The sequence below is a fragment of the Homo sapiens genome, chromosome 11 (assembly GCF_000001405.40).
Source record: "Homo sapiens chromosome 11, GRCh38.p14 Primary Assembly".
In the NCBI taxonomy this organism is placed as follows: Eukaryota; Metazoa; Chordata; class Mammalia; order Primates; family Hominidae; genus Homo; species Homo sapiens.
The window spans coordinates 117,535,379-117,554,506 of NC_000011.10; the positions used below are offsets into that span (position 1 = coordinate 117,535,379).

The 19,128-nt window shown below is 49.8% G+C and overlaps 1 protein-coding gene across 5 annotated transcripts in view, besides 2 other annotated features; it reads right to left on the reverse strand.

Moving 5' to 3' along the window:
• DSCAML1 (DS cell adhesion molecule like 1) overlaps positions 1-19,128 on the reverse strand; it is a 389,743-nt gene that overhangs the window by 107,607 nt on the left and 263,008 nt on the right. The window lies entirely within an intron of this gene.
• Positions 11,517-12,037: an enhancer, noted in NCBI's record as "H3K4me1 hESC enhancer chr11:117417610-117418130 (GRCh37/hg19 assembly coordinates)". NCBI's record gives its function as "activates a minimal SCP1, AML or CMV promoter by ChIP-STARR-seq in naive H9 embryonic stem cells {active_cell/tissue: H9 hESC(naive)}" and the evidence as "EXISTENCE:reporter gene assay evidence [ECO:0000049][PMID:30033119]".
• Positions 12,038-12,558: an enhancer, noted in NCBI's record as "H3K4me1 hESC enhancer chr11:117418131-117418651 (GRCh37/hg19 assembly coordinates)". NCBI's record gives its function as "activates a minimal SCP1, AML or CMV promoter by ChIP-STARR-seq in naive and primed H9 embryonic stem cells {active_cell/tissue: H9 hESC(naive and primed)}" and the evidence as "EXISTENCE:reporter gene assay evidence [ECO:0000049][PMID:30033119]".

A 19,128-nucleotide genomic window follows, 5' to 3' on the forward strand; every position in this document is an offset into this window, starting at 1 on the left:
CATCTGGCAGCCTGCCCGTCTTCTGGAACCTAGAGTTTGTGGACACCCCGCTCTGCCCGGCTCCAGCACACAGACCACAGCCGGGCAGACCCCGCAACTAGGCAGACCCCCACTCGGGGCTGTGGGTGAGGACGAGAAGGAAGGTGGAGGGCGCCAAGCCCTGCAGCTGGCTGTCAGAGGAACCGAGGAAGCACGGAGAAAGCCAGCTCCCCAGTGGACTCTGCATGTGCCGTTTTGTCTCCATGTTGTGACATCCCAAAGTCAAACGCGGAAGCTCTCTTGTAATTTATTATGTAACTGGGACTGGAATGCAGAACTACTGGAGGGCGTTGCTGCCAATCAGAAGTGCCAGTGTCGGGAGGTAGTGATGGTGGGGTGAGGAAAAGCAGGAAAGACACAGAAATCAATGCTCACAGCCGACAGGTGCTCCAGCCCTGGACAGCTAGGACCCTGTGATCTTGCATCTCCCGGCACCTCAAGACAAACAGAGCACTTGGCCCTACGAGGATTTTAAACTAGGGGTGGGGGGTGGGGGGCTGATGCTGCCTTGATGGTTGTGGGGAGCTAGGGTTTCTATAGCAACAAGCAGCTGCTGCATCTGATGTTTCACATCCTTCATTGTCCTCATTTTCCCCTCCCTCCCCCCCTTCTTGTGCATATTTAATTGCAGTAACGTTTTCAGACACAGTGTTTTGCTCCTCCTGAAACAAAGGCAGGCTGCAGCCAGGGGGATGCACAGCGCGAGAGGGGAAGGAGAAATCAGGGGTATGATGTTAGTCCCCTTGGGGGGGCTTGTGCAACATCAGTTCTGCATGTTTGATGAGCATCGGACGGTGGACCCTGCTGGGGAAGGAAGGAGCAAGAGGCATGTGGAGTGAGCCTCATACAGTGTGGAGAGCGGAGGGAGGCCCGGCCCGCTGTTTGGGGATGGAGACGGGCCAGGGTTGGACAACATGGCTGGCCTCCCGGGCTGGCAGCCCATGCTCTGCACCCCAGAGGCAACTAGCCATCCCTGGGAAGGGAGAAGAGTAGCTGGCCCACGTTCTCTGCTTTGAGGCAGGCTGGGTCCCACGGGAGAAGGAAAAAATGGCAGCCAGTACCTCCGGGTCCAGCACCAATCCTGAAGCCACTTGGACAGGTTGGGGGAGGTGGGACATTTGGGGTTGACAGCATAATTTGGGGTTGCTAAGGGCATTTAGTGGTTAGGGGCTTGAGTCACAAAGAACTGTTCCACCCCAAATGCCAACAGTGTCCCTGTGGGTTTAGGCTGGAGGGTGCCATTCCTTTAGGCTGTAAGACCAAGACACAGAGCTACGTTTAAATGCTGACTGTGCCCTTGACATTGCTTGATTGATTGACATATTTCAAAGGCTGTGGTATCATCTATCTACATGCTTATGACTAGGGGAGTGGTTGGTTTCTGCTTTTCTTCCTTTTATTATTACTACAAAGACCCTGACCTGTTTTGCCATCCCCTTTTCTCTGTGATCTCGAGCAGGACTCTACTTTTTTTAAAGCTAAGTATTTATTGAGTAGCTATTACAAATTAGGCCAATGACTTTACGTACATTATCTCATTTAATCCCCACAACCCTTTGAAATGGATACAATTATTATTAACTGAAGCACAGAGAAGTTACATAATCCATCCAAGGTCACACAGCTAGAAGGTGGTAGAGCCTGGACCATTAGTCGACTTCCTATGCTCTTCCAAAGCTCTGTGCTGGACTGACTCTCCTAGAATGACAGCACCACTCATAGGGACATATGGTCAGCCAGCCTCTGCCTGGTCGCTTCTGTCAATGAGGTCCTCACTGCCTCCTGGAGGAGCATTCATCCATCCAGCTCAGTTTGGCTGAATCTATCACGTCTTTCTGGAGTGTCTCCAGGTCTTGGTCTGGGCACCATGGGAGAAGTCCTGGACTTGGTCTCTGCCCTCTGGGATCCCACAGTTAGGAGACAATATCCTTCCACCATGGAAGGCGTGGCCGTCAGTGCTGGGGTACTGGGGAAGGCTGTGGAAGGTCTTGTGGAAGCTATGAGTAAAAGGAGCTGTACAAAGGGGGGCTGGGCCACCAGGGGTGGCGGGGAAAGCCCAGGGTGGGGATATAGGAGGCCAGGTTGGAGTCCAGGCTCTGCCACTCATGTTGGGGTGTATCCTGGGTTGAATAGCATCCCCCCAACAAATTAGTGCCTCCTAGGATCTGTGAATGTGACCTTACTGGAAATACGGTCTTTGCAAATGTAATCAAGTTTAAATGGGGTCCTCCTGGGTTAGATTGAGCCCTGAGTTCTAATAAGACTAGTGTTCGTCTAAGAAGAGGGCGATCTGGACACAGACACGCACCCAGGGAAAGTGCTGTGCAGAGGCGGAAGCAGAGGCAGGAGGATGCACGTAACAGCAACGAAACGCAAGGATTGCCAGCAGCCACCAGAAGCTAGGAGAGGCCAGGAAGAACCCTCCTCTGGAGCCTGTAGAGAGACGCTGGCCCTGCCAGCACCTCCATTTTGGACTTCCAGTCTCCAGAACTCTGTTGTTTAAAGCCACCCAGTTTGCAGTGATTTCTCATGGCAGCTCTGGGCAGCTCACCCAGGGTGCCTTTAGAGAGGGCCAGTCTTCTCTCAGACCCTCAGTTTCCCATCCGTAAAAAGAGGGGAATTTGGATTTGGTGAGTGTTTTCAACCATGTTTGTAGATGAGAATCATCAAAGGATCTTTTCAAATGGAACTCTGAATCTCTGAGGGTGTGGTGGTCTGGGAATGGATTTTTTAAAGAGCTGTAGGGAGTGTCTTATGTGCAGGGCAGAGAACCCCTGGATGAGATCAATTTGCAAAGACTCTTCACACTCATTGACAATTTGATGTCTCCATGATCCCACTATACTAGCGCAAGCCCCATTTCTTCTTCAGGAAAATGGAGAAAAGAAATAGAACTGATGTCACAGGGCTGTTGGGAGGATTAAATTAAATACTGAGTATGAAAGTCCCCAGCACGTGGGTGGCTGGCTCCATGTCATCTCAGGAAGATGAAGGGCCGGAGTAGCTGAGGTTGGGGCTGCCGGGCCCCCAGCGCCTCCTGCGGTCAGGCCTCCTGCAGGTGGACTCCCTCCTTCCTCCTCAGGAGCTGGGTTGGAGAGCAGGGAGCTTGGAGATGAAGAAGCCTCCTTGGCAATTCTGAGGCCCTGCACACAGGTGTTAAGTGAGCTGACAGCATCTTTTCTGTCTTTTTCTAAAAGGTCAGAGAGCTGGGCTTTCGAGACTCCCTGGAGCTGCAGGAGCCATGGAGAGATAATTGATAGAAACCTCTGGGTTTCTGGCAGCCCCAGAGGGCTGGACAGAGAGAAGCCACCCTCTGCAAAGGTGGGGCCCTGGCTGCTCTGCTCTCAGGGAGGGGTGAGGGGGAGTGTGGTGGGGAGAAGGTGATAGACAGGGGAGGAGGGGGAAACTGGGGGTTTGGGGGAGGATCTGAACTGGACAGATCCCACTGCAGTCTCTAGAGCAAAGGAAAGGAAAGGATTGAAGGAGGCAGGGGCCAGCAGCCTCCTGACTGGCCACCCTGAATCCACCACTGCCCCTCCTCCTTCTGTCCCCAGCACACAGCCAGAGCAATGCTTTCAATCCACGTCAGATCCTGCGGCTCCTCTGTTCAGAATCCTCCAGTGCATTCCCATCTCAATCCGGTCATAAAACAGGCACTCAGTACGTGTTTCCAGAATGAATGCACGAAGAAATTTCCCAAAACTCTACGGCAGTTTTGTCCCCATTTCACTCACGAGGAAACTGCAACCCAGAAAAGTCTGATCCCAGCTGGAAATTCACCTTCTTCAGGAAGCCTTCCCAGATTAAACCCACTCCCATTTCTGAGTGTTTCTGCACCTGGCAAACCTCTTGTCCTGCTAATCACTATTTCTACTACAACCAGTTAGACCTTTAAGAAAAATGGTCTAGGCTGGGCGCAGTGGCTCACACCTATAATCCCAGTACTTTGGGAGGCCAAGGAGGGTGGATCACCTGAGGTCAGGAGTTCGAGACCAGCCTGGCCAATGTGGTGAAACCCCATCTCTGCTAAAAATACAAAAACTAGCCGGGCCTGGTGGTGGGTGCCTGTAATCCCAGCTACTCAGGAAGCTGAGGCAGGAGAATCGCTTGAACCCGGGAGGTGGATGTTGCAGAGAGCTGAGATCACGCCATTGCACTCCAGCCTGGGCAACAAGAGTAAAACTCTGTCAAAAAAAAAAAAAAAAAAAAAAAAGGAATAAAGGTCTAATTAGCAGTGGCAAGAGGTTTGCCAGATGCACACAAAAGTGAGCATTCAAAAGTCAAGATTAAGTAGTGTGATGGTTCCCCCCAAAATAAAAAATAGAATTACTATACGATCCAGTGATTCTACTTATGGGTATATATCCAAAAGAACTGAAAGCAGGGAGAGAGATATTTGCACACCCAAGTTCATAGCAGCGTTATTCACAATAGCCAAAAAGGTGGAAGAAACCAAACTGTCCATCAACAGACAAATGGATAAACGACATGTGATATATACATACAATGGAATATTATTCAGTCTTGAAAAAGATGGAAATTTGGGCACGTGCTTCAACATGGATGCGTCTTGAGGACATTATCCTAAGTGAAATAAGCCAACTGCAAAAAGGCAAATATGGCATGATTCTACTTTACTTATAGGAAGTATTGGAGTTGTCAAGCTCATAGAGACAGAAAGTAGAATGGTGGTTGCTAGGGGCTAGAGGGAGGGAAAAGGGGGAGTTGTTTAATGCAGGGGTTCCCAACCTTGGGGCCGTGGACCAGTACCTGTTCGTGGCCTGTTAGTAACTGGGCCTCAGAGCTGGAGGTGAGTGGCAGGCGAGCGAGCATTTCCTCCTGTCAGATCAGCAGCAGCATTAGATTCTCACAGGAGTGCGAACCCTATTGTGAACTGTGCCTGCGAGGGATCTAGGTTGCACGCTCCTTATGAGAATCTAATGCCTCATGATCTGAAATGAAACAGTTTCACCCGTATCCCCCTACCCCTGTCCCGTGGAAATATCGTCTTCCATGAAACCAGTGGGGGACTGCTGGTTTAAAGGGAATGGAGTTTCAGTTTTACAAAAGGCAACTGAACTTAAACATGACTGAACTTAACCCTTAAAAATGATTAAGATGGTAAATTTTATGTTATGTATATTTTACCACAATTAAAGTTGAAAAAAAATTTAAGTCAAGGCTATAAAAAGTTGGAATGAGTGATAGGTGGGATTTGAACAATGAAATCACTTGGACACAGGGCGGGGAACATCACACACTAGGGCCTGTCGGGGGATGAGGGGCTGGGGGGAGGGATAGCATTAGGAGAAATACCTCATGTAAATGACGAGTTGATGGGTGCAGCAAACCAACATGGCACATGTATGCCTCTGTAACAAACCTGCATGTTGTGCACATGTACCCTGGAACTTAAAGTACAGTAATAATAATAAAAAAAGTTGGAATGAGTGTCTTTGTCAGGTAGTGAGTCTCCTGTCACTGGGGGGTATTTAAGTTGATGCTGAAGAAACCCTTGGCTGAGATATTGCGTAGGGGATTTCAGTCTTGAATAGAAGAAATAAACCAGACCATCCTTAAGAACCTTTCTCCCCCAGCGATTTAGAAGTTCACGGCTTAAGGAATGTTGGAGCTGCAATAACCCTTGAGGATCATCTACTACGGGGATTTTAAAATGCGTGTGTCTGCACGTGCATTTGCACACTTCCACCCCAAGGCCTTTGCTGTCACAAATTCCTTTTGGCCTGAAATGCTTTTTCCTTGACTTACTTCTGGCCTCATTCAGGTCTCTGCTTAGTAGACAGCTCCTTGGAGAAGTCTTGTCTGACCACTCTCTAAAAATTAGACTGTGTCCCTCGTCCCTGCCCAACTCTTTACTCTGCTTTATTTGTCCTTGGAGCACACGCTGCTTCTGTTTGAGAGCAAGAAGTTATTTTGGTTCACCCTGTATGCCAGCTCCAGAAGACATCTTGCACACAGCAGATGCTCAGTGAACATCTGATGTGTTGAATCAATGAATCCTGGCAGTGGAGGAGGCATCTCCACATGGGGTGAGGCAGCTGAACTTCCAACCTGGACTCCTGTTCCCAATGTGCCCTGTGCCCTGGTTGTCTCTCCCCCTCTAGCCACTGCTGCCACATTGCAATGGTTTGGGCCACTATTTCCTCTTTGGGCCACTTTGATCCTTTCCTTGTTTCCCCAGCTTGGGACATAAAGCAAGATGGATGGTTTGGAGCTAACAGAAGAGAAAAAGTACAGACAAGAACACAGCCCAGGTTGTCTGGACTGTAAGCCATGGTGGTCTTATCTTAGTGAGGCCCCTGCAAGGCCTCCCAGCTGAGCCCATGTGGGCAGTGGGACCTCACACTTCCCATGGCAGGGCCCAGGGGGAAGGTGGGAACAGACACTCCCTCAGTAGCATCCCGGCTTCTGTGTCCCTCTCCGACTAAAGATGTACCTCTTCTTCGTTAGGTGATTAGATTGGAAATGCTACCCCCAGCCCGAAGAGGGACTACTAGCAACACAGGGCTGCTGGTTTCAGGATGGAACCACATTCAAGTCCAGGACCCAACATTCAGATCAGAGGTATGTGAAATAGAAGATGCAATGAGGCCGGGCACTGTGGCTCATGCCTGTAATCCCAGCACTTTGGGAGGCCAAGTAGGGTGGATCACTTGAGGTCTGGAGTTTGAGACCAGCCTGGGCAACATGGTGAAACCCCGTCTCTACTAAAATACAAAAATTAGCTGGGTATGGTGTCAGGCTCCTGTAATTTCAGCTACTCAGAAGGCTGAGACAGGAGAATCGCTTGAATCCAGCAGTGAGCCGAGATCGCATGACTGCATTTCAGCTGGGAGACAGAGTGAGACTCCCTATCAAAAAAACAAAACAAAACAAAACAAAACAAAACACAAAAACAACAACAACAACAACAACAAAAAAAAAACAGTGCAGGCGATGTAGTGCTGTGCTCTGAGGAAAGAGAAGCCCTGGACTCAAGCTGCCTTGGGTGGTTCCATCTCTGCCTGTCTTAAGGGGAGCTCAATCTCTTACACATGAAAGGTTTCCACAGCTCGGGCCCTTGTGGAAGAAGCCCTGTGTCCAGGCACCAGCAGCTATAAACTTCCCCTCCCCAACTCTTTTAGGTACCTCTCTCCAAGCACTGTACTTTGGATTTGGAGAGAGATCCAGGTGAAATATCTTAAATTGTTATAAAAACTGCGAGAAAAGCACCCCGAGGTGCATGAATCAGTGGGCACCCATGTGCTGAAATGCCTATCAAATACTAGGCACTGTGCCAGGCACATCTTCCCTCTCTTGACCATTGGTACACACCTAGGAAGACCATCCTTCTCTTCCTTTACAGATGAGGAAATTATGGCTTGGGCTAAGAGACTTGTTCAAGCCACACATCTAGTGAGTGGAAGAGCCTGGACTCACACCTGGGGCTCCTGAACACAAATTCAGAGCTGTTTCCTCCAACCCTGCTGCCAGGAAAGTGTGTGCTGCATGCTGGGGGTGCTTTGGCTAACCCCTTCCCCGTGAGGTGGACTTCTCTCTCCTTTCTGGGCAGAGGTTGGTCCCCTGGCCTCTTCATTCTTCCGATGGAGGCTTCCCTCTCACTAGCCAGGGCCACAGTAGGTGGGTGGGCAAATGGTGAGATGAGACCAGTTTTGGAAGACATTACAGTTACTGAATGAAAGAGTGGATGAATGATCTCACAGGCTAGTGCAGAGTGAAGTAAGAGGTTAGGGGGACTCAGAAGCTGAGGCTTAGGGAGAAAAAAAATCCTGCCATGATCAGTTGCCATGTGTTAGTGGGAAGTGTGATCTTGGGCAGGTGGCTGAATGTGCCTGCAAGGGAGCATGGTGCATGCGCTGGCATGTTGTGTACCTGCACTGGCTTGTGAACCTGTGCTCGTGTGTGTACCTGCACTGGTGTGTGTACCTGCACTGGCATGTTGTGTATCTGTGCTGGCATGTTGTGTACCTGTGCTGGTGTGTGACCCTGTGCTGGTGTGTGTACCTGCACTGGCATGTGTACCTGCGCTGGTGTGTGACCCTGTGCTGGTGCATGTACCTGTTGGGTACACTTGCACAGGCTGATGGGGCATTGTAGGGGACAAGAAAGGGGCTGGCAGCTTAGGGAGGCATAGGTCCCAATGGGTACTATACAGAGCTCTGTATTTGGAGGTTTGAGACCTGCCACCTACCAGCTGTGTGGCTTTAGGAACACCTGTTAACCTTTCTGGGCGTTTGCTCACCCCCAAATTAGGGATTCTAAACCCCGATTTTCTCTGTTCGTGGAGTTCTTCTGTGGTGTCCATGCAACAATACTTATGAAAGGCTGTTGTGATGTATATGCACTGCATGCTTATAGGGCAGTTTTTTTTTTGTTTGTTTTGTTTTTTTTAAAGATCTTAATACTAAATGGGAGGCAGGTCTATGATGCGTATGTAGTGCATAGGTATTCACATGGGGTTGGGAGCTGCTTTTCCACTATTGGAGTCAGATGCCTTCCTGAAGCAGGAAAACCAGAAGCTGAGGAAGGGGTTTCCTGCTTTGCCTCCCCCATTTCCTCTGCAAGGAAGGTCCCAGTAGGCAATGGGGGATATGGAGTCAGAGGGAGGAGGAAGCGAATAGGGTGAGGCTTTGCATTGAGACCAGGCTTTGGCCACAGGGTCAGAAAAAAATCGTTGTCTCTCTTGGAAGAGAAGAGCTACTTAGTCTGTCACAGCTCAAGTCTGTTTCCTGGGGTAGCTTCAGGATGCCAGGGCCTCGAAGTACCTCAACTGGCCCCCAGGGACCTCCCAATTCAAAAAGAGAAATTGCAATCAATACAGGTTACCAGTTGCTGCTCCATGCAATACAGATTTATAAAAACAGTGTCGTCAGCCTGCAGTGTGGAGCCTGCAGATAGTTCATAGGACTAATGAGATAACTTGCCCCACAATCAGGGCTGTCCTTTCCTCCCAAGCTATTTGTGCTGTGGGGCAGGGCAGTTGAGGGTGATGGATACTTCCTGGCTGGCGGGAATTAGCTCCTGCCTGGGGGCCCTGGCACCAGGGCAGCCTGCGGGGAGCAAGTCAAGGCGGACTCTGCAGGGCACCTTCCTTTCTTTCCTTTTGGTTCCACCTGCTGATGGTGAATAACCTGGGAGTCCCTGCCAGCCTGGGTTTGAAAAAACCAAGGGAAGCCAGGCCCATCCTTCTTCCTCTCCTTTCCTTGGACTCTGAACTCCTAGGATTGTAAACCCTCAACTCAGTACCCCAGAGGGAGATTTGTAGCAGAGTGAAAAGCACATGAGATGTGAGTCGGGAACAGGGATTCAAGTCCCAGCTCAGGCCAGGCTGGCTCTAGGTTTTAGATCCTCCTTGTTTTGGACTGAATTGTTTCCCCCAACATGTTATGTTGAAGCCTTAACTCCCAATGCAACTGTATCTGGAGATAGAGCCTTTAAAGAGGTGGTTAAGGTTAAATGAAGTCATGAGGGTGGGGTCCTGACTGATGATGCCCTTATAACAAGAGGAAGAGGCTGGGTGTGGTGGCTCATGCCTGTAATCCCAGCACTTTGGGAGGCTGAGATGGGTGGATCACGATGTCGGGAGTTTGAGACCAGCCTGGCCAAGATGAAAAAACCCGGTCTCTACTAAAAATACAAAAACTAGCTGGGCGTGGTGGCGGGCGCCTGTAATCCCAGATACTCGGGAGGCCGAGGCAGGAGAATTGCTTGAACCCAGGAGGTGGAGGTTGTGGTGAGCTGAGATCGTGCCACCACACTCTAGCCTGGGCGACAGAGCAAGATTCCGTAAAAAAAAACACACACACACACACACACACACACAAAACACAAGGATGTGCACACACAGAGAAAAGGCCATGTGAGGACACAGCGAGAAGGTGGCCATCTGCAAGCCAGGGAGAGAGGCCTCACCAGAAACCACACCTGCCATGACCTTGACCTTAGACTTCCAGCCTCCAGAACTGTAAGAAAGAAATTTGTTTAGGCCACCCAGTCTGTGGTATTGTGTTATGGCAGCCAGAGAAAATGAATACACTCCTCATCTGGACATGCTCTTCCCTAGGACTCTTCCAGCACTAACAGACATTCTAGAACCGGGTCCTGCTCTGCAAAGACATGAAGATGGGGAGGGGAGAAAGGCAGAGGGGAGCCAATTCTGAAGGTCACCAGGCTTCAGGCTGTACTGTACAGGCTGGGTTCAGAGAATGTGATGGGGAAGAAAGACTGAGTCTAAGACCATCCGGTGGGCATCAGGGGCCAGGAGCTGAGGGGAGGCAGGGAGGAAGCTGAAGGCATCATCCAGGGATGAGGTGGGCAGGGAACTAGCCCTGGGAATGGGTCGTTAACACAGGCTGGGCCTCATCTGCACCCTCAATCAAAGACTCAGATCTCATCCCCCGTGGAGGAAACCGAAGCACAGCGTCACACAACTCATCTGTGTGGTCAGAGCGCAGATGTCAAGAGCAGCCTCCTGTCTCCTGGCCCATTGCTGTTTGCTTGTGCAACTGGGGTCAGGCAGGGTGGACACGCCTGGGTCAGGAGAAGAATGGATGGATGGGAGGCGGGACCTCGGCTATGCGAACTTGTGCGAGGCACGCAGAGCCAGAAGCTTTGGCCTGCCCGTCAGTGCTGAAGTGGTGTCACCACCCCCAAGTCCCCCTTTCTGCACTGTAAAGGGGAACAGTCAGGTCCCACCATCTTTATCTCTGCCTTTGGGCTCTATAGGAGATGGCATTACTGGAGAGACAGGTGTCAGAAGCACTCAGGAGGACACAGGAAGTTAACAGCATGGTAGAGCAGAGAGAACCCAGCTCTGCAGTCAGAAGGCTTGGATTGGACTTGGGTTCTCCTGTCTAGCTGGATGACGCCACGTGAGCCACTGAATCTCTCTGAACCTGTTTCCTGTGACAATTACCAGTTAACGAGTGCACCCAGCGCAGTGCCTGGTACATAACAGGTGATCAGCAAGTGTTGAACAACTGAATGAATAAATGAATGCATAGCTCTTCTAAGTGGGGGACTCAGAACTTGACCTGGATCTCAGTCTCCAAGTCCAGGGCTCTGCCAGCCATTCCCACCAACTCCTAACTGCCCACAGACTGGTCTTTTAAGTAGGTGGGAGGGGTGTGGAGTTACCAGAAAGGACCCTACTCAGCTTCCCGGGAGCCCTGACAGAGTGACCACTTGGGGCAACTGAGATCTAGAAGGGTCCCTCACTGTCTCCGGAGCAGCTCCTAGAGGTCTTAGGGGTGCAGAGGGTGGGGAGCAGCAGACAAATCTGGGGGAGGGGGTGCAGAGGCACGGTGGCTAGTTCTCTCTCTCCCCGAATCCTTTCCTCTAAATACAGCTCTATCTTTCTCTACCCCAGGATTAGCACACATCTCTCATCCTCATATTGCAACAAGATTTTATTTCTAATTATGCTGTAATAAAACTGGAGCGCTCCCAGGCTTCCTTTCAAATGACTTGTACACACACTGCAGATTGGGCCCTCCTCAGCCCCATTGTAATAGCATTTCCCTGACATTCATTAGACATGCATGAGAGGGGCGCTTTAAGAATAGAATTGCATTTAAATGGATTTGCTGAGAGAGGAAGATGAAAAAAAGAGAGGCGAGGAGTGGGGAGAGGGAGAGGGAGAGAGGTTTGTTGAACAAACTATGAAAACAAGATGCCATAATAACAGGGTGCTGAAATAAGCCTCTTTATTCCCGGCCCTCGTCCGCTGCACATGGCAGAGCCCAGCCGGGGGCGACAGCCTCCAACCCTCCCCAGAGCCCCCACCCCCACTTTTATGTTTCCCGCTGGGGGTGCTTTGTAGCTCTCACTCCATGTGTCAGATGCTCACGGTATAATAGAAATCACTGTTATTACAATTCGGGAAAGCTACCTCCTTGCAACAGAACCCCAGTAGCTGCACGGCGGCAGGGAAGGGGACCCTTGTGTGCCTGGGCCTTGGGGAGGAGGATGGCAGCTGCCCGCCCTTGGCTCGCTTCTAAGGCGCGGCCCCACCCTTCTGCTCCTGCCCTGAAGGACCGCCCTACACCCTACACCGCCATTAGCCACTGAGCAGTTGGGATTGTTCTTTTACCCTGGGTGGCTCTGCAGCTAGGAGGTGGTAGGAATAGCAGGGATATGCTTTCTGACCCCAGGGCCTGGCCCTCATGGAGCCCTGCTCCCTGCTCAACCTTCCCTCCCCCAACACCCCGCGTGCTATAAAGGCCGCTCTGCTGCCGTTTAGCAAGCAGCTACTGTGTGTCTGTAAGACTTGTGGTCTTATCTAATTCATTCTCACTATAGCCAGACAGACTCACTTGAAATAGACATCTGATCATGCTGAAAACATCTCGTGGCTTCCTATTTTTCTCAGGATGAAGACCAAAATCCTTAGCAGGGCAGCCCAAGCCCACAGTCATGCCCCTGACCTCCAGCCACGCTGGTCCTCCGCTCCCAAGCCTTGCTGCTGCTCATGACACTCTCCCACCCCTTCCCAGGGTTCATCCTGACCCACCCCTTAGAGTCAGCTCACATCCCCTTCCTGGAGAAGACCCCCACCACGGGTCTTTCTGCCTTATGTGCCGCTTCACTGCATACTCGTCTCTACTGGGACAAGGTGTGGACTGAGACATGCAAGGCCTGGTACTGTCCCTAGAGAGTAAGCCCTTGAGGGCAGGTGTGGATCCCAGCGGCCGCTGTCGCCCCAGCCTTGTCTCAGTGGCAAAGGCTCAATACCGTGGAATGGATTCCAGGCTCTAAGCCAGCCCTCTTCCCACCATCTGCTTTAATTCTTGCAACAGCCTTCTTGGGCTAAGGGTTTTCTTCTTCCCCTCTAACAGTCAAGGAAGCTGAGGATCAGAGAGGTCACAGCAACTTGCCCCAAATCTCAAAGCTGGGGCTGTCCAAATCCAGAGCCAGACTTTTGGTAGGTATTTCCAAGTACACTACTTGGCCATGGGGAGTCCTGCCAGCTCCTTCCCATAGGGGTACACCCTTCCCTGCACCCCAGCAAGGCCCCTCTTAGACCCTCTCTTAAAGTCCAGCTAACCAGAACCTTCTCTCCCTTTCCAGACAGTTCACGGCTCCCACCGTTGGGCCACAGCCTGGGACCCAGGAGGGCCTCAAGTTCCACATTTGGACGGGGTCATCTTTGTATTCCTAGGTGGGATGCAGGCTTCTTAAAGAGTGATATATCAGTATCACTCCTCTGAACCTCCCCATAACAGCTGGGCCAAGGCTGGGAATTCCCGAGTGCACCGTTAGTTCTGGTTGGATCACATTGGAGATGGAGCATTGGATGTAGAGCTGGAAGATTGGGCCAGCTTTACAGCTGTGTGACCTGGATGCAAGTCCCAGAGAAGAAACCCCGCAGTCTTGAAATCTACAAGGTGGTTTTGATCACACCCTCTAGAGAGTTACCGGGAGGAGTCGCTGGGCTGCCGTGGAACTGTGCCTCACATGGGCTCATTTCTGTCTCTGCTTTTTCATGCCTTGGTAATAATGGGGTGCTTATACACAGACAAGGAGAAAACGGGTCTTACTGGTTCTCATAAGGGGATGTGGCTAAAAGGGACATGGCACTGTGACCTCTTGCAGCCATCTGGTGTCTGCCCCTGTGTCCCTGTGTGGCTCCAAGGGCACTGGGTGGCAGTGGAGACCATCCCTCTGTCCTTCCTACATGTGTTTCCCCATCACCACCTTCCCACTCCGGGGGTCTACCTGCCTCAGAGGCCTCCAATGGCCTCCTCCTGCACACAGAAGCCCCACAATGAGTGGCTGCAGCCTCCAAAGGCCAGGAGCAGCAGGTGGGCTCATTCCCCTGCCTCCCAGTCCTTAGCACAGCCCTAGCCTGGCACTTGGTAAAGGCCCGGCGCATGTTGGTCACTGCTCTGGGCTCAGTTTCAGTTACAACACCTTCGAGATGGTGCTCAAAAAATATTCCTTAAATGAATGAATGGATGATTGAATGAGCGCATGAATCTTGGCTACTCTGCCTCAGTGGCAAGTACGTGGCTCTGAAGTCAGATAGACTTCCGTTCTATCAGTGTGACCTTGCACAGGTTACTTAGCCTCTCTAACTCAGTTTTCTCATCTATAAAATTGTGCTAATAACAGTACCAATCACACAGAGTTGTAGTGGTCACGTGAATTAAAGTGCCAGGCCCAGCGCCTGCACAGTGATTGCGTGATAAACGATTGCTCTCATGATTATGACTTACAGCTTCCCATCCAACGTCTACATCGGTACACTCCGGAGCTTGGAGTGACTGCTGGGCCAGTGATTCTAGATCATGCTTGACTCCCATTTTCCTCTTCTTAGAACTGTTAAAAATCCTCTGCTGCTGCTCAAATAGCAGAGGCAATTCAGCTATTTTGAACCTCTGCTTTTTAAGCTTACAGGCTAATCGGCGTGACTGTATGTACATCAGCCATGCCAGCCAGGGAGCTTATCAGTAAAGGTAGAAATGTTCCAAGTCCCATCAACATTTGTGTTGTGAACATGTGAACATATGAGTATATGAGTGCTCTGCCCCAACTCTACTGGTCCATGCACCAACCTTTCCACACTGGGTCATCTCAGCACCTCTTCTCCCTTGTCTCCTGACAGCCCTTAGTTAGTCATTTCTTGCTACCCCTAGCTCACAGTATCTATACCCCTTATCCAGCTTTCATCATATACTGGCCTTTTACTATTAATTTGTAAAATTCACTGATAGCTTGCCAATTAAGAGGACGTACCTCTTAATTGATAATTTCCACTATGTTCTAGGCTTAGTGCTAGATACTTTACATGCATTGCCTCAATTTCATCCTGAGAGGAGGGCAATATGATCCTCATTTTATAGACAAGGGAACTGGGCTCATAGAGATTCAGAAGCTTGCCTAAAGTCACAGAGTTAGAGAACAACACATTTGGGATTCGAACCTAGATTGTGTGACTCCACATTCCTTCAGGACAGAGGCCTCAAATCCCACCTCCCTGGCCCCAGTGTCTGGCCTGAAAGCCCAGTGTCTGGCCTGAAAGCCCAGTGTCTGTTTATTGACATTAGCTGCTGCCCATGGCCAGCTTTCAGGGTGTTACAAACATTATCTGAGAAATTTAGGTAACGGTTTCACACTGGGCTGGGCATACAGTAAAGGTATAATAGATGATTTCTGCTATGCTTTTTGTGCATTTATCTTCTGAGCAAGGAGACGGGCCCCGCCAGCTCCCTGGACACGCACTGCCTCCCCACCTTGGCATTGGCCAGCGTGGCACCAGCCTCCCCAGCACACTTGGAATTCTGAGCTCATTCACCAGACAGGTGCAATTTCCCACCTCTCACTCGCTGACACTCTCTGCACAATCGATCACAAAACTGTTTCCAAATTAACTTAGATTTAGCTCCAGCCTCACCTCTTCTGACTCTGGCAATTTCCTCTCTACCTCTGTTAACTCCTCCGGGCACTGGCCTGCCTGTATCTCTCTCTCTTCCTGAAAATGCCCAGCTGACCCCAAGTCAGGGTTTCTTCTTGCCCTTGGCCCCAGATTATGCGGGACATGGCCTTTCTCAGGATGCCCCTTTTCTCTGTCCTCAGCCATGGGCTGGGGGCAGGGGTCAGGCAATTCTCTTCTTTTCCTGCCCCCTCTTCTCAGGATTCACCCTACACGTTGCGTTATCCTCTAATTAACATTTTGGGTTGAAGGGCCATAAAGTTTCCTCTGCATTAGTCCCTAAAAACGTGTAAAGAAAAAGATATCTGGAAGGACAAAGGTCAGAGAGAATTGGTGCAAACAAAAAGTTTGGGGATATACCTCAGGGTTGAGAAAGCATTTCTGGGTAAAATTCCAAAAGCTGCATTCTCCAATCCCACTAAACTCCAGCCAGGCACCTGCTGTGTGTCAGGTCCTGAACTCTGGGCTTTTCCCACAATCCTGCCAGATGTATATGGTCATCCCCAATGTACAGATGAGAAAACTGAGGCTCAGAAAGGTTGTATAAGTCATTAGGTTGTCTATGTCACAGACCTAGGAGGAGAACTCAGGTCCAGAGCTCAGCCCTCTCCCCCACCGTGCCTGACTCTCCCTGCCTGCACCCTGCTTAGAGTCTTCTGAGGGACGCGTGTTGGGTGCAGGGTAGAAAGGGAAGGGAAGAACTGGATTGGGGGCATGCATTTGTCATCCTTCTGCCACCTGAGTGCCATGTTTAGACCTGCCTCCTTGGCCTATAAGATAGAGGTAGTTGCTGCCCCCAGAACTGGGAGATGGGGCAGTTGGGGAAAGGGGGTCTGGAGGGGACAGCAGCTGACTTTGGAGGGAGAGAGCCTCTGAGGGCTTCGTGTAATTTACCCACAGGGCCTTGGTGGCCTGGCGGCTGTGGGGGGCATCTCAGCATATCAGCAGTCACACCATTAAAGAGCGAGGAGAAATTAATATCACCGAGGTGGTCCAGAGCTTCTGATACCAGCAGAAAATTACAGGACACGAGATGAGGAGTATTACAGAATGAGTGGGAGGGGACAAGAGATCTCCGTGGCTAATCCTGTTAAGGAGACAATGTCTTATCAGACTCATTATACTTTTGAAAGGAGGGAGTATGGAGGGGGAAGAGAAGGTGGGGGACAGAGTGTGATGGGGTGGGGGCAGCTGCGGGGAAGGGAGAGAGGCGAGGAGCTGCGGTAACAGAGCCTGCAGGTCCATCGGGGTGGGCATGCACCTGGAAGGTGTCTGACCCGTAGAGTAAAAACCCTCTCTGGGAGCTACGTCCCTACTGGGCTGTGGGGAATGTCAGTCAGTGGAGCAGCCCTCCCGCCTTGACAATTGTCTCAACAGGTGCCTGGGAGGAAAGCAGGTGCCTTGACTCTCCTGCTTTGACCTAATCTCATCTTGTTGCATCTCCTATGGAGCAAATAGAACCATCCCCAATCTACACAGACACTGAAAAACCAAACACACCCATTTTTCTGCAAAGCACTTTCCTGTCCAGGCCCTCATTTGACACTCACAATCCACCCCCCTCTCCCCTGCCCCCGAGATGAGCAGGAAGGGGACCACACTGCCTGGGAAGTTAGAGGGCCCTTTTTGGCACTCAGCTGAGCCTCCTTGGGTAAATCACTTAATCTCTCTGGGCAATCATTTCCTCACCTTGAAAACAGAGATTAACGAAATCCTACCCTATCTACTTCACAGGGTCCTTGTGGGGATGAAAAGGATAATATATGCAAGAGGGTCCTGTAATCTGTGAAACACTGACGTAAAGGAAAGTGATTGCTATCATCGTTTTGAGGTCGAGACAACAGGTTCAGCTAGGTGAAGTGTCTTGCTGGAGGCAACAAGGCTGGAAGTGGCGGGCCAGGGCTTGCACCTTTAGTGTCAAATCCAGGGTCATTTCTGCCTCCATGAAGTCACTCCACTGGCCTGTTCCCAGTTGACCATTCACCAGGGAATTCAACAGGCACAGACCCGAGTGTCTGCTTACTACAAGTGCGCGATGTGCTCAGTATTGTCCCAGGCTGGCCCGGGGAAGTGCGTGGTTGGGAAGACACTGCTTGCTGTCTATACAATATCTATTTTCCCTTTCTTACAAATGTTTTTGGGTTGGCAAAGTTGTCCATCACCGCCTGTTCTGGGTGATGAGATCAAGTTTCTTGAGGGTTGAGGGATAGGGAAGGGCTTCCGAGAAAGCATTTCTTCTTCAAACAGAAAGGACAGACATTCACAATGGATCGAAGGCCTGAGTGCAAGAGCCTAAAATGATAAAACTCTTAGAAGAACAGATAAGGGAAAACCTTCATTACACTGGATCTGGCAACAATTTCTTGGATATGACACCAAAAGCACAGCTAACAAAAGAAAACAATAGATAAATTGGACATCATCAACATGTAAAACTTCTATGCATCAGAGGACTCAACCATCAGAGTGAAAAGGCAACCCATGGAATGGGAGAAAATATTTGCAAATCATATCTCTGATAAGGGGTTAATATCCAGAATATATAAAGAATGCTTACAATTCAACAACAAAACCAAACAACCCAGTTTAAACATGGTCAAACGACTTGAATAGACAGTTCCCCAAAGAAGAGATACAGATGGCTAATAAGTACAGGAAAAGATGCTCAACACTAGGGAAATGAAAAATCAAAACCGCATTGAGATACTACCTCATTCCCATGAGGATAGCTATTATTAAAAAACAAACCCAAAACTCAGAAAATAACAAGTGTTGGCAAGGATGTGGCAAAATTGAAATCCTCGTGCACTGATGGTGGGAATATAAAATGGCACAGCAGCTAGCAAAACAGTGGATGGCTCCTCAAAAAAAATGAAACCTAGAATCACCATGTGATCCAGCAATTTGGGTATGTATCCAGAAGTGTCTGGGTATACACCCACAAGAACTGAAGCCGGGACTGGAAGAGGTATTTGTACACCCATGCTCGGAGCAGCATTATTCACAATAGCCAAAAGGTGGAAGCAACTCAAATGTCCACTGACAGATGAATAGATAAATAGAACATTGCATACACATACAATGGAATATTATTCAGCCTTTAAAAGGAAGGAAATTCTGACATATGCTACAACATGGATGAACTTTGAGGACATTATCCTTAGTAAAATAAGGCAGACACAAAGGGACAAATACTGTATGATTCTACTTATGTGAGGTCCCTAGAGTAGTCCATTTCATAGAGACAGAAAGAAGAATGGTGGTTTCCAGGGGCTGAGGGGAGGGGGAATGGGGAGCTATTGCTCATAGTGGGTCCAGAGTTTCTGATGACAAAGTTTTGGAAATAGTGGCGATGGCTGTACCACAATGTGAATATACTTCATGCCACTGAACTGGACACTTAAAATGGTTAAGATGGGAAATGTTGTCATGTATATTCTACCACAATTTCAAAAAATAGTAAAAGACAGATACCATGGACAAAAACATTTTATTCTATTATTTATTATTTATTATTTTTATTTTTTGAGATGAAGTCTTGCTCTGTCACCCAGGCTGGAGTGCGGTGGTGCGATCTCGGCTCACTGAAACCTCCGCCTCCTGGGTTCAAGGGATTCTCCTGCCTCATCCAAGTA